Genomic DNA, 13,764 nt, shown 5'->3' with positions numbered 1-13,764 from the left:
TTCATTTCTTCCGCAAATGTTTATTGAACATTTACCGGGAGTCAGGTATTGTGCTAGGGGCTGGACATATATTGGGGAGTAAAATAGACAAAATCTTGATCTCTGTGAATGTATGATTTGTGGATGTCAAGTAACTGGATGTCAACGAGATGGAAAGTGGGAAGTCAAATGGCTAATTCTAGCTTGGCTGTCAGGGGAAATAGTGGTACACTGGGCTGCACTGGAAGGCGGGAGGAAGACTGGGTTTGTGGGAAGGCTGATGCATTTGGTGTTCAGCACAATAAAGTTGAAGAACTAATATCAAAATACTTTTCTAAAATGAAATCCGTGCTGGATTAAACTCAGGTTTTGTGGCTGGCACCAAGTGACCTACATGGCTTTATACAGTGACTCAAAGTCTAATTAAAGCAGCACCCAGTCTGACTGCAAATCCACTTAGTCCTGGTCCCATATTTTAGGAGGCATTTTTCTTGCAAACCTTATATGAGAAAATTTATTGAAATAGTAGACAATGTCTTTGAGTATAGCTTTACAAGAATGTACTGAAATGTATATCAAGTTGATTTTTCTCATAAAGACCGTCTATAAAAGTTGAAAGCACTACTCAGGAGGCTGAGGTAGGAGATCTACTTGAGCCCAGGAGTTCAGAACAGCCTGGACGACATAGCGAGACCCCATCTCCTAAAAGAAAAAGTTGAAACTATAAAATTAAATCCTGACTCAGTCAAGGAATTTTTGGGAGTGGTAAAATAACACAATCCAAGTAAATTATTTTCTCATGATTTCACTTAATACAGAGAAGGAATATAGAGAAATGGTATGTCCCTTAGGCTGTGTCTCAACTATCAGGTGTGTCCAGGAAACCAATGTTAAGGGCTGGGTTGTGGTTAATTCCTGGCCAAATTCTCTGCCTGGTGCCTGATATAGCAATATTTAGTGTGGCTCACAGGAAGCACCGTAGGTCACAGATGTACAATAGCAGAGTCGACACATTATTGGGAAAACTTAGGAGCCTTGCTTTTTCCTTCTACTTCCCTAGAAGTAGGGCCAAGCCAGGGATCATTCTACTTCCTCACAGATGTGGGCCACAGAGTTGGTGAGATCATATTTTTCCCCCTACAAAAGTACTGAATCATTCTGACTCTTAAGGAACTTGTTTAAATGTCACTGCTTTGCCACATAAACTATAAAGACCATTTTATCTTGAAAAAATATTGAAAGTAGGTTCAACCAATCAGTACCAAAGAAAAACCCATTTATAAGGTGTCTAGAGAACAGTTGATCCCAACCTTGACTACACTTTGAATCACCTGGGGAACTTTAAAATCTACTGATGTCTGAGTCTCACCCCTGGAATTCTGAATTAATTGGTCTGGGGTATTGTCTGGGCTTTGAGAGTTTAAAAACTTCTCCAGGAGATTCTGATCTGCAGCTATGGTTGAGAACCACAGCTGTTTCTGATGTTTGCTTAGGCTTCTTGGCAGTAAAACCATGGCATCAGCACAGAGGAGGGGACTCTTTTTCCACCTTACTTTGGCAGTGGAAATGTATCCTATGCAACTCCTGGAGTATCTTTATCTATTAATCTTTGTGTCTGATATGAACATTCTACTTTTTGGAGGTCTGCCTATGTCAATGGAATCAAAGACTGGGGTGATTTTGTAGTCTTCACATTTCTCTTCATTTATTTGTTATCGTTGTAATTTCTGATGTTCATACTTGGAGGATTTCTGATTCATTTTGGATATCACAATCATTCTGAATGGCTAATGAACCGGGTTTCTGTACCAGAGTAATGAAGCATAACTATGTTTATGTGTGAGTGACCCCTTGGGGCCATTCATATCCTACTTCAGCTAGTACTAGTTGTTATAGCCTGAACAAGTCACTTAAATTCTCAGAATCTCATTTTCCTTATCTTATAGGTTGTTGTAAGGATTGCACATAATATAGTGTCTACTGCATAACAAATACTCAATAAATTATAGCTATTATTATCTCCAAATCTAGATTGCAAGCTCCTTAAGGATATGAGGTCATGTTTCCTATAAAAATTTTAGATATTTATAATTTTCTGGCATTTATGAGATGGTGTTCAATACAGATAATACAATTCCAGCTTTATAAATGATAGAGAATACTAGACAGAACTCTTTCATCAGATTGGCAGATTTAGATGTATAGTCTAGGACCATGTTACTAAGTAAGGTAACTGGTCGATCGGAACCTCAGCTCTATAGTTTTAAGCGGTTAAGAGCCTGGGTTCTAGAATCAAACCTTGTGGCTTTGCTTTTTTTTGTGTGGTATAGAGATGGGTTCTCACTGTGTTGCCCAAGCTGGCCTTGAATTCCTAGGCTCAAGCAATCCTCCTGCATTGGCCTCCCCCAGTGCTGGGTTTATAGGAGTGAGCCACCACGCTCGGCTGACCTCCTGGGTTTGAATTCTGCCTTCCATTCTCACTGGCTTGGTTCTTGATCAAGTTACTTAATCCCCCTCAGCTTAGTTTCCTTATCTGCAAACTGGGCATGTTCCTTGGGTGAATTAAATGTTGCACATATTGCATGCACAGTGCTTAACCGGAGCACACTACATTATAAAAGTTCAATTAAGGCTTGCTATTATTATTATTGGCTTCATTCACATTGTTCTGACTCATGCATCAACTTCCAGAGGAGGTGACAGTGGCCAGCAGGTCACATGCAACAGAAATGAGGTGACACCATTTCGTAAGAAGCAAAGCATGTCTAGGAAAGAAGCACAGAAGAAGCCAAGGACAACAGCCTCTGGAAACTCAGCGGTGGCCACTACCCAATGGAGACAGCACATACTGGCATCACTCTTGGGCAGTCACCCAACTCATTAGAAGTTGACCAGCCCTTATTTATTCAACATTGTATACGGTAGCTATTGGAGTCTTAAAGGAAGTGAAAAGTAGTACCTTTGAGGAACTACAGTCTGGGTGGGAAGAGAAGTCTTCGTAAAGAAGATGGATATTCATGTTATATTATTAAGTGCTAAATTGTGTGATTCAGCCTGTTCTTTCAGTAGGAGTTACAAGAGGGGAGACAGCAATACTGGCCTTTCTGCACTATTCTTTCTGGAGGAAAATAAAGCCATTAGCAATAACATTTTCAAACATAATTAGCAGGGAAGGTGTCTCTCTGCTAACAAAAAAGCCGAACGTTCTAATCCCCCTTTTTCTGCAACAATCCAAAATGTAACAAATATGTGAAGAATCAGGGAGTGGGTTATTCAGGAAATAAGTACAGGAGTTATGAAAGATTTCTTTAGAGGACTTTTTCCCTAATTCGAATCACCAAAGGTTTACTGAACAGCCCTTCTGTAACAGATAGGCACTGTGCTAAACCCATGAGATGGAGAATGAGGAAGATACAGTCCTATCCTCAAGGGGTGGCTCACATTCCAGTGACTATGTGGGACTATCAAGTCTCAGGGCATTTCTAAGGCCCTTCTCTTTTCCTGTGCTCATGGTAAAAACAGTCTGAAATAGAGAAACTGAGTAGATAAGCAGGCATAAGGAAAAAAGAAGTAAATAATGTATCATTCCATGAAAACTACCCTTGAAGACAGTGGAGGGGACAGACATAAACAGACCATTTCAGCCACATAAGTGAGGAGCTCAGACAGGGGTGTGCCCGGGTGTTGTGCATGCGCTGGGGGAGAGGTTCTCCGTGGAAGCTGGAACTGAGAGAGGCTGCCAATGTGATGTGATGTCTGAACTGAGTACTGAAAGGAATGAGAGATCATCAGAAGATGGGAAAGGTGTTACAGGCAAGGAACAGCCTTTGCAGAGGCCCACCAGGGTCCAGCCGCTTGTGTGGGTGGTGACCTTGAAGTAGCTCATCATTGCTAAGATATAATGTGGGAAAGGGCAGAAGGTGACAGAAGCCAAGCTACAAAGGGCTTTCCCTGCTGGACAGCCTTAGCTTTCCCCAGAGGTGAGGGAGATCCATGAAAGGAACGTGTGGTGGTCAGATGTATTTTTAGACATATGTAGAGAAAGAATTGGGGGAAAGGCTCAATCGTGAGGAGTGGGTGCTGCTGCATGCAACAGTGGACTCAGCTTATAGGGATCTGTTTGCTCACATGCCAAGGAATATGGTGAAGGCAGGTACTGACTGGCTTAGATACTCAGCTCCCCTCTGTGTTTTTGCTTGGCCATGCTTTTGTCCTCATTGTTGTACCTCACAGTGAGAAGATGGCTGGCCAAGCTCAAAACATCACCTCCATGTTTAAGGTAGCAAGAATGGGGAAAGATACAACTATTCCCTTAAATCACCAACACAAAACCTTTCCAGAAACCCCCAGACTTTCATGAGATGTCTGGAAGTTAGAACAGGACTATACCAAATGGCCACCTTTGGCTGCAAGAGAGACTGAGAAAGTAATAATCTTACTTCTATAGTGATGGGGGCCAGGGAGAAGGAGGTTGGAAATAAGGGTTGAAGAAATGAACCTATCATTTCTGCCACAAAAGCTAGCAGGTGACAGTTGGTGAGGACCTGAGATAGGCCAATGGTAATCGAGAAAGGGCAAATATTGTTGCCATGGACTAAAATGGAAAACTCAGAAATACTGAGTATTGAATCTAGTTATGCTAGATGAAGACTTAGGTATTGTCTCGGGGAGATGTTCAGCAGGGAGCTGGATGTTAGTTCTAAACTTAAGTGAAGGCTCAGGCCTGGGGATATATTTGAGAGTCATTAGAATATAGGTGGGAAGCTGGGCCATCAGAGGAGTCAAGACACTCCAGGACAGCATGACATGAGAAGAGCAGTAGGCCATGGTCATGCCATACATTTAGACATCGGAAGCAGAGCATGAGAAATTCACAGGAGATACTACAACAAAATGGCTGGAAAAGTCAAGGGAGTAGAGAATTTCTAGAAATGAGTGGTCAGTAGGATCAGAAACAAAAAGGCCCAGTAAGATAAAAACAAAAACTACCTATAGGGTTTGGTAATATGATTTTGCTGTTGGTCTTTCCCTGAGCAGTTCAGTGATGGGGTTGGGAAGATTATTTTTGCAGTGGAAAGAAGGAGGCAGGAAGTATAAATTCCTTTCCAGTAGAGTTTTTGAAAGTAAGAGAAATAAAACTAAGGCAACAAATAAGTAGGGAAATTTGTTTTTTATTTTTATGGGTAAGACTGGGCAGAGGGGATTTAGAGGCAGAGGGGAAGAGGCCAACAGGGAGGGAAGGGTTGAAGTTACAGGAGACTGTATCACTATAAGGGTGAAAGGCTTAATCATGATTGGCTTCCACCAATCTTAGGGCATCTGCCAGGGCTGAGGAAGCAACCCATCATTCCCGGGCTTATTGCACCCTTTACCTGAACAATATGGGGTTTCTAAAACCAAAAAAAAAAAAAAAAAAAAAAAAAAAAGAGGGGATGGCTGTTGGGAGAGGTTCCAATAGTGTCTGCCACACCAACCCTCTCTCTACTTAAAAATGTCACAGCAGAATTGCATCTGCAGTGATTCATATCAAAAGCTTGAACAGTCTTTTCATATTGCACATTTTAATTTAAATACTTTCTCACTTCATGGTTCTCCTTAGGCCTAACCTACTTTCAATTAAGCCTGAGTCTGTGAAGACATACTAACTTGTTCGAGTCTATTTTCTCTACATGCTAGCACACACACCCTGGAATTTAATGGATAGTAAAATTATGCAAAGAATCACTGTGTGCAACAAGAACTGGGACATTTCCTGCCAAGCCCACCTCCAATACAAACATGTACACACACCCATCGGTGCTATACATAGAACTTGCTCTTAAATACCAACATCCATTTGCCACACTGTGGAGCAAATATGCTTCCATTCTCATGATTAAAATAACAGGAAGTATCATCATTCTTGAAGTCTTGGTATTTATAACAACAATATAACCACAAAAAATATGTAACTGTGGAGACTCTTGATAAGGTCTATTGGCAAGGCATCTGGTAGCATCCTTGGCTTGATGAAAAGCCCTGTATCTAAATAATCTTACTTTTCAAGCAATGCTGTGATGTACCCTGAGGATCCAATCCAAGAAGGGTAAAAACTGCTACAGACGTCCTCTATAACCCCCAGCCTGAAAGGGGCCTTTGCCTCTTCAGCCAGTCTGGCAGGTCATGGAAATTCTACTCTTGCAAAGAGAGCTGTGGATACAAGCAAAGTATTTCTTCAGTATTTACTTTGACTGGTGAAAGAGCCACGGCAGATTTTTTTCTTTTTCCCCAAGACACAAAATGACATTTTAAAGAAGAAACCACTCTTGGTGCCATAGCGTCTTTTAAAAATAATATCAGAATAAAAGCTCAAAGGCATGTTCTCTTAAGCACAGCTGTCCAAAGCCTCCTATTTCAGGGAGAATTCAGCCACTTTATGCAGACAGGAAAACAAAACTGTTCGTTTTAGCATCTTCTCTATTGGAACTATTTTTTTGTACTCAGATTGCATCAGATTCAAAACTAGTGACATCCTCTTATGCTCTGTTTCCCCAACCAGATCATGAGCTCTTTAAGGTCAGGGGCCACATTTTGTACTCCTTTATTTCTTGCAGAGTTGTGTTTGTCATGGTGTACTTTCAGGAAATTGTTGTTGAATGGATGAATGAATGAAAGAATGACAAAAATGGGAGAGCAGTGGTAGGTGAGTTGCTAGGCAGCCTGGTAAAGAGGATTACAAGAGTCAGGTCAGATTAGCAGGAAAGGTGGTGTAGGGGAAAGAATGTTGCATTCTGAGCCAGCAGACATGGGTCCTAGTCCCAGGCTGGCTTGCTTGTCTTCACTCATTCAACAAACATTTCTTACACTTCAAGTGAGCCAGGCAGGCATTGCGGCAGACACTGAAGAAGGCAAAATCCCTGCCCTCCAGGTGTGGTGGTGGTGGTGGTGGTGGTGGTGGTAAGGGAAGCATGTGGAGATCAGGATTATGGGAGAGATGTGTGATAGGAGGTATGATCACGGCAAGCACAGGGCACATGGAAGCAAGGAGAAAGGGCTTCTAAATCAGACTGTGGATTCCAGGAAAGCTTCGTCCACCTGAAAGGAAAAGACAGAGGCACAAAATATAACAAAACATTTACTTGAGCCAAAGTGAGGACAGTTGCCCGGAAGACTTAGACCCAAGTAACCCTGGATATGAGCTTCATGCCGCCTTTATTACAAGCAGGTTTTTTACAGGCAGAAAAGGGGGACAGGGAGTAGGCCGATATGAAATTGTTTGTAAGGAATTCACATTGGTTTACAGAAACAACATTGCTCACTGATTGGCTATGCACTGTTAAGCTATAGGCTATGAGTGATAGTGTCCAGTGTGACATTATTAGGTTAATGTATAGTTACTTGTGGCAATAGCAAGCAGTTTCAAGGATGAATACATAGCTCAAAAGGGGGCAGTAGTGTTACTGGAAAGAGTTCCTGATCCAGACCCTAAGAGAGGGCTCCTGGATCTGGTGCAAGAAAGAATTTGGAGTGAGTCTACAAAGTAAAGTGAAAGTGACTTTATTAGATAAGTAAAGAAACAAAAGAATAGGCAGAGCAGTGGCGTCGGCTGCTTGACTGATTATACTTATGGTTATTTATTGATTATAAGCTAAATGGGGTGGATTATTAATGAGATTTTTGCAAAAGATGTGGGGAATTCTTTTCTCTTCCCAGATTCCTGAAGGAGGAGGGTTTTGATTCAAGCCTTAAAGATGAGAAGGTGTTGGCTTGAAATTGACCAAGAAATTGACCTTTTACTGTAGGTAAAAGGACTTACCTGTGAGGATGTTGTATTGGAGAATTAAAGTCTCAGCTTCAGGTGAGACTTCAGGGTGGCTGTGACGGGAGATAAAGTTAGAGACATAAACTAGAGCTACTTTCCAAAGGGCCTTGCTGCAATATAATTTAGTGGTTAGGAGTGGAGGTTTAGAGATCAGACAGAATTGGGTTCAAATCTCAGCTTTGGTACTTACCAGCCATGTGATAATAACTGATTTTTTTAAAATCCCATCTGAGCTTTAGTTTCCTTAACACAACGACTACCTGTTATCAGTTGTCTATTGCTGCATAACAAATTATCCCAAAATGTAATAGCTTAAAGCAACACACAGCTTCTTCAGCTTCTGAAGCTGAAGCTGTAATTCTCAGTTTTGGTTGGTCTGGAATCCCACCAAAACTATAATTATAATCTAACCAAAACTATAATTCTCAGTTTTGGTGGGTCTGGAATCTGCACCTGGCTTAGCTGGGTCCTCTGCTTCAGGGTCTCTTGCAAGGCTGCAATCAAATGTCAGCCAGCGCTGAGATACCATCTCAAGACCCAACTGGGGAAGGATCCGTTTCCAAGCTCACTGACATGGTTGTTGGCAGAATTCAGTTCCTTGCTGACTGTTGGCCAGAGGCTGCCCTCCTCAGTTCCTTGCTATGTGGGCCTCCCCGACATAACAGCTTGCTTCATCAAAATCAATGAGAGGGAAAGTCAACTAACAAGGAAGAAGCCACAATCTTATTTAGCCTTCTTCTCATCACTCTTGCCACACTATGTTTGTTAGAAATCACAAGGCCAGTCCACACTCCCAGGGCAGAGATTATACAGGGGAATGAACACCAGGAAATGGGGATCATTGGAGACCATCTCAGTGTTTGCTTGCCCCAAAGCTCATAGCTTAGTACCACTAAATAAATGTTAGTTATTATTATTATGCTGAATCGAGAGATAAAGTAAAACTACAGAGGGCCAGTAGTTTTATATCAGGGAGTAACTTCAGATGATGTTGGGCAAGTCAAGTCATCTGTCTTTGAACTTTCATTTCATCCTCAGTAAAATAAAAATACCTGACCCCAGAAAGAATGAGAAAATATATGTGCAAGCATAAATATATTTTTGGAACATCAAATATACAACTCTCCACTCTGAGGAAGCAAACTGCTTTGGGCCAGTTTTCCATTTTGTGTCTGCTCTATGAGTCTCACAGTCTGATGTCTTCACGTTTTTTAGCGTTTGGTCCAGTGGGCCCATAGGAATAAACACCTACAAAGAGCAGTGTGTCTCTGGAGAGTCCTTTAAGGCATTTCCAAGGATTTGCTTTTTGGTTTTTTTCTTTCTTTCGTTCTTTTTAAATATCTTTGCTTTTAAGGACCTCATGGGGGGCCTGGGAGAGAAAACAGACTGTCTGGGAAATTTTAAGCTCTTGATAATAAAAATGGTAATAAAATCTCCTCCAGCTCCTGAGGCTTCGCAGAGGGGATGTTTATGGTGGATGGGGTTCCCCTTCTCCTGCGCAGCTGGTTTCGAGGTTGTGCGGTTTCCAGTCCTGCGGAGCAGCTCAGGTTACCGCCTCCGTGGCCGCGGGGGAGGGCATCTCCGACGGCCGCAGCAATGGGCAAGAGATCAGGGTCTTCCCATCCCCGCGACTCGCCCCTTTCTGCCTGGTAACCAAGCGGGATGCCTCATCCTACTCCCCAAACGGAGCGGATCACACACAGTAGTATTTCATGGTCTTTCCTGCTGCGGTTTTCCCGGGGGAAGGTACTTCCAGAGGGTGGCCAAGTCTTCCCTAGCGGCCGGCCTTCGGGAGGGGGACAGAACTTAGGAGTCAGCCCTCTGCCTTCGTACAAAGGCTCGCTTCTCCTCAGGGCGTCTCTGGGTGGAGCGAAGCGGCCGAGGGGACCACGACAATGTCCCTTTGCTTTTCGGACCGATGGCCAGGCCTCCAGAGCCAGGAGCGCCCGGGACCCCAGGGCAGGGAGCAAAGCTCATACCGCAACCCCGCCACCCGCCCGCGCCCTGCCAGCCTGTTGGGGCCACAGCGCGCAGGCCAGCAGCCGCACTCGCCGCTGCGGGGTTCCCTTTGCGCTGAGCTCATCTCCTGCAACGCCGCTGCCCCAAACCTTGCGGGCCATTTGGTCCCGGGGGTGGGGCTCCTTGGGGGCCGCGGGGCAGCCCGGATGAGAGGATGACCCGGGAGCTCCCTGGGGGCGGAGTGGAAGGGGCAGCTCCAGGCAGCCCTGGCCAGGAGCTTTTACCCCGCCAGCCCCGCTGCTCCAGCGGCCGCTGCCTTAGAAAAGTTAACGAGAACCAGATGTGGTGGCCACTGCCGAACTTTCTCAGAGCCGGTGATTGGTCCCCAGCCGAGGGCCTCAGCCAATTAGCTTGCTGGGTGGGCCTGGAGTCCCGCCCCGCCCAGGCGCCCGCGGAGATCCAGGTTCGAGGCTGGCGCGGCGCGGAGAGTGGGCTGGAGGCCGGGGCGGGACGCGTTGTGCAGCGGGTAAGCGCACGGCCGAGCGAGCATGGAGGGGGACCGGGTGGCCGGGCGGCCGGTGCTGTCGTCGTTACCAGTGCTACTGCTGCTGCCGTTGCTAATGTTGCGGGCCGCGGCGCTGCACCCAGACGAGCTCTTCCCACACGGGGAGTCGTGGGGGGACCAGCTCCTGCAGGAAGGCGACGACGAAAGCTCAGCCGTGGTGAAGCTGGCGAATCCCCTGCACTTCTACGAAGCCCGATTCAGCAACCTCTACGTAAGTTCAGCCCCCTCCTGGCACTTTTCCCGCAGCTTCTTCCCTGGGGTCGGTCTCACGGAAACCCTGCCTCCAGAGGGGAGGAAACAGACCCCACTCCTGGAGCCCCCCAGCACCCTTGCGGTGGTACCCGGCCAGAGAGCGATGCCGCTGCCTGCCCCGCTGCTGTAGGGGAGCAAGAATGACCTGGAGGGGAGAGCAAGAATTGTTCGCAGCCACGTACGCGTCCCAGGCAGAAAAGGTGGCGTTGCTAGGGCGGCCAGCGGGCTTTGCAGTTAGGACCGCGAGAAGGCTGTGCCCGTCTGCGGAGCTGGGGTGTTCCCTCTTCAGACCTGGAGGCTTCCTCTCCGAGGACATGGGGCTCCGGGGTTGTGAGGGGAGTGAGAAGATAGGTGAACGAGTTTTAGGGCCCCTGGACCTACTGCAGCGCGGAGCTGGGACAGTCGCAAAAGTTGCGCTTGTTTCCCTGAATCCAGACTCCCTGGCCAGTGGGGAAGGAGAGAGAGGCTTTTTGCCTAAGTCAGTTCCCTTCCCTCCCTGCGCGAAAGGGTAGCGTCCTTGGGCTTGAGCGACTGTCACCTTTTTGTCCCTCTCCTCTCCCAGGTGGGCACCAACGGCATCATCTCCACTCAGGACTTCCCCAGGGAAACGCAGTATGTGGACTATGATTTCCCCACCGACTTCCCGGCCATCGCCCCTTTTCTGGCGGACATCGACACGAGCCACGGCAGAGGCCGAGTCCTGTACCGAGAGGACACCTCCCCCGCAGTGCTGGGCCTGGCCGCCCGCTATGTGCGCGCTGGCTTCCCGCGCTCTGCGCGCTTTACCCCCACCCACGCCTTCCTGGCCACCTGGGAGCAGGTAGGCGCTTACGAGGAGGTCAAGCGCGGGGCGCTGCCCTCGGGAGAGGTAAGTGACCAGGGATATTTGACTGCTGAGGAAATTGAAGGATGGGCTTAAATTCTGGGGCAGCGACCCAGGGACTGGCTCGGAGTTGTTTCTGAGCCTACTCTTGCGCTGAACCTGACCTTGGAGGCAGCAGGGCTGGAGTGGCTTGGGAGTGAGGAAAGACGTTGTCTCTAGGCATCTTCTGAGGCCCTGGCAGGTGGTCACTCCCTTGAGGAAAAAAATGCTTAGCGGATATGAGAGCGGGAGTGCAGATGTGGGAGCCCCTTTGAACATAAGGCAATTTACTGTTTGGTTGCTTATTTTTAGAACCATCTCTAAGTATACAAGTATTTCTAATTATATGTTCATTGAAGGGGAAAAAATCAGAAAATACAGATAATTTTAAAAAAGAAAACAACCACTCATTTTCCCACCACTGATAAACATTTTTCTGCGTACATTTTCAGAGTTTTTTCTTCTGCATATCTTTATTGCTGTCTATTAACAATGATGAGTTTACACTGCACATACTGTTTTATAACTTGCTTTTTTCACAGAATAGTGTATTGTAAATATGTTTCAATGTCAATAAATGTATTTCTACATCATTTATAATGATGCATACTACTGTATCCTGCTATTATCCTGTATAATAGTGGGTGTACCACAGTATGCTCAACCAGTGTTGGGCCATTAAGGCTTTTTCTGGTTTTTCATTATTATAAATAATAGCGTGAATCACTTTTTAAAAAGCTAAATCTTTGCACATGTTCTTAGTTGACATTCCAGGAAGTGCAATTGGTAGGTCAGAGAGGATGCACTTTTGATAAAGTTCTTGATAACTTCTGCCTAATTGCCTTCCAGGTACCAGTTTACAAGTTTCTTAGTTTATAGGAGTCTGCCGTCAATGTGCTTTACAGTCTCTACCTGCGGAAAGTAAAAAATTCCAGGCTCCTGGTCTTTAGTCTTGTCATCAACATTTGAAGTCCTCCAAATGGATATGAGTGGGGCCAGCGTGCTTGGTAAATGGCAAACTGCCTCATTCCTGAAGAAAGTAAGGGCTTCCTTCTATGGAATTAGACCTGAATCTAAAATACCATACTCTAGGGGCTGAAACCATATGATTCATCTCAATTTTAACTTACGGAAATGCTTCTTCACTATAGAAGGATGGTACATGCCCCCTGTAAGAGGTGAGGTTGCTTGCCCATGTCACTGATCTCTATCTTGTAAGGATGCTGTGACTTATATCTTTTGTATGGGGACTCTTTATTTTTTAATTTTTGAGGGTACATAGTAGGTGTATATATTTATGGGGTACATGGGATGTTTTGGTACAGGCATGCAATACGTAATAATCACATCTTGGAGAATGGGGTATCCATCCCCCCAAGCATTTATCCTTTGTATTACACACAATCTAATTACACTCTTAGTTATTTAAAAATGTACAATTAAGTTATTATTGACTATAATAACCTGTTATCACAGGTTATAGTCACCCTGTTGTGCTATCAAATGGTAGGTCTTATTCATTCCTTCTATTTTTTTTTTTTTGGTACCCGTTAACTGTGTCCACCTTCCCCTGACCCCTACTACCCTTCCCAGCCTCTGGTAACCATCCTGTTACTCTCTATGTTGCATAAGGACTCTTTAAATGCAAGGTTTTTGGAATTAAAACTTTTGTCTGGTCCTTTTCTGGGGTGGGGGAGGTTTAGGGTAGAAGAGATTTGTAAATTCCATCTCTCTTTTACTTTTCTAATTAAAATCCACCTGCAGACATTACCATTTGCTAGTTGGCTTCAGAATGTTTCATTAAGAAAACTAGAAATACCATTTGACCCAGCCATCCCATTACTGGGTATATACCCAAAGGACTATAAATCATGCTGCTATAAAGACACATGCACACGTATGTTTATTGCGGCACTATTCACAATAGCAAAGACTTGGAACCAACCCAAATGTCCAACAATGATAGACTGGATTAAGAAAATGTGGCACATATACACCATGGAATACTATGCAGCCTTAAAAAATGATGAGTTCATGTCCTTTGTAGGGACATGGATGAAATTGGAAACCATCATTCTCAGTAAACTATCGCAAGAACAAAAAACCAAACACTGCATATTCTCACTCATAGGTGGGAATTGAACAATGAGATCACATGGACACAGGAAGGGGAATATCACACTCTGGGGACTGTGGTGGGGTTGGGGGAGGGGGGAGGGATAGCATTGGGAGATATACCTAATGCTAGATGACACGTTAGTGGGTGCAGCGCACCAGCATGGCACATGTATACATATGTAACTAACCTGCACAATGTGCACATGTACCCTAAAACTTAGAGTATAA

At 45.0% G+C, this 13,764-nt stretch overlaps 1 protein-coding gene and 1 long non-coding RNA gene across 5 annotated transcripts in view; one reads left to right on the top strand and one right to left on the bottom strand.

Annotated features, from left to right (window-relative positions):
* Positions 1-5,134: 5,134 nt before the first annotated feature.
* LOC105378180 (uncharacterized) lies at positions 5,135-10,046 on the bottom strand. Its single transcript, XR_943864.4, has 2 exons — positions 7,775-10,046; positions 5,135-7,053 (listed from the first exon to the last, which is right to left on the bottom strand). It is a non-coding gene; the product is annotated as an uncharacterized LOC105378180 (long non-coding RNA).
* A 176-nt stretch (positions 10,047-10,222) lies between these two features.
* NID2 (nidogen 2) overlaps positions 10,223-13,764 on the top strand; it is a 64,251-nt gene continuing 60,709 nt past the window's right edge. For all 4 annotated transcript variants that reach the window (XM_005267407.5, NM_007361.4, XM_005267406.5 and 1 more), the window contains exons 1-2: positions 10,223-10,515; positions 11,119-11,424. In XM_005267407.5, coding sequence (XP_005267464.1) covers positions 10,288-10,515; positions 11,119-11,424 — 534 coding nt within the window. In that variant the 5' untranslated portion in view covers positions 10,223-10,287. The remainder of the gene's footprint in view (positions 10,516-11,118; positions 11,425-13,764) is intronic.

The sequence above is a fragment of the Homo sapiens genome, chromosome 14, assembly GCF_000001405.40.
Source record: "Homo sapiens chromosome 14, GRCh38.p14 Primary Assembly".
Classification (NCBI taxonomy): domain Eukaryota; kingdom Metazoa; phylum Chordata; class Mammalia; order Primates; family Hominidae; genus Homo; species Homo sapiens.
This window is presented reverse-complemented; position numbering and strand designations above follow the sequence as displayed.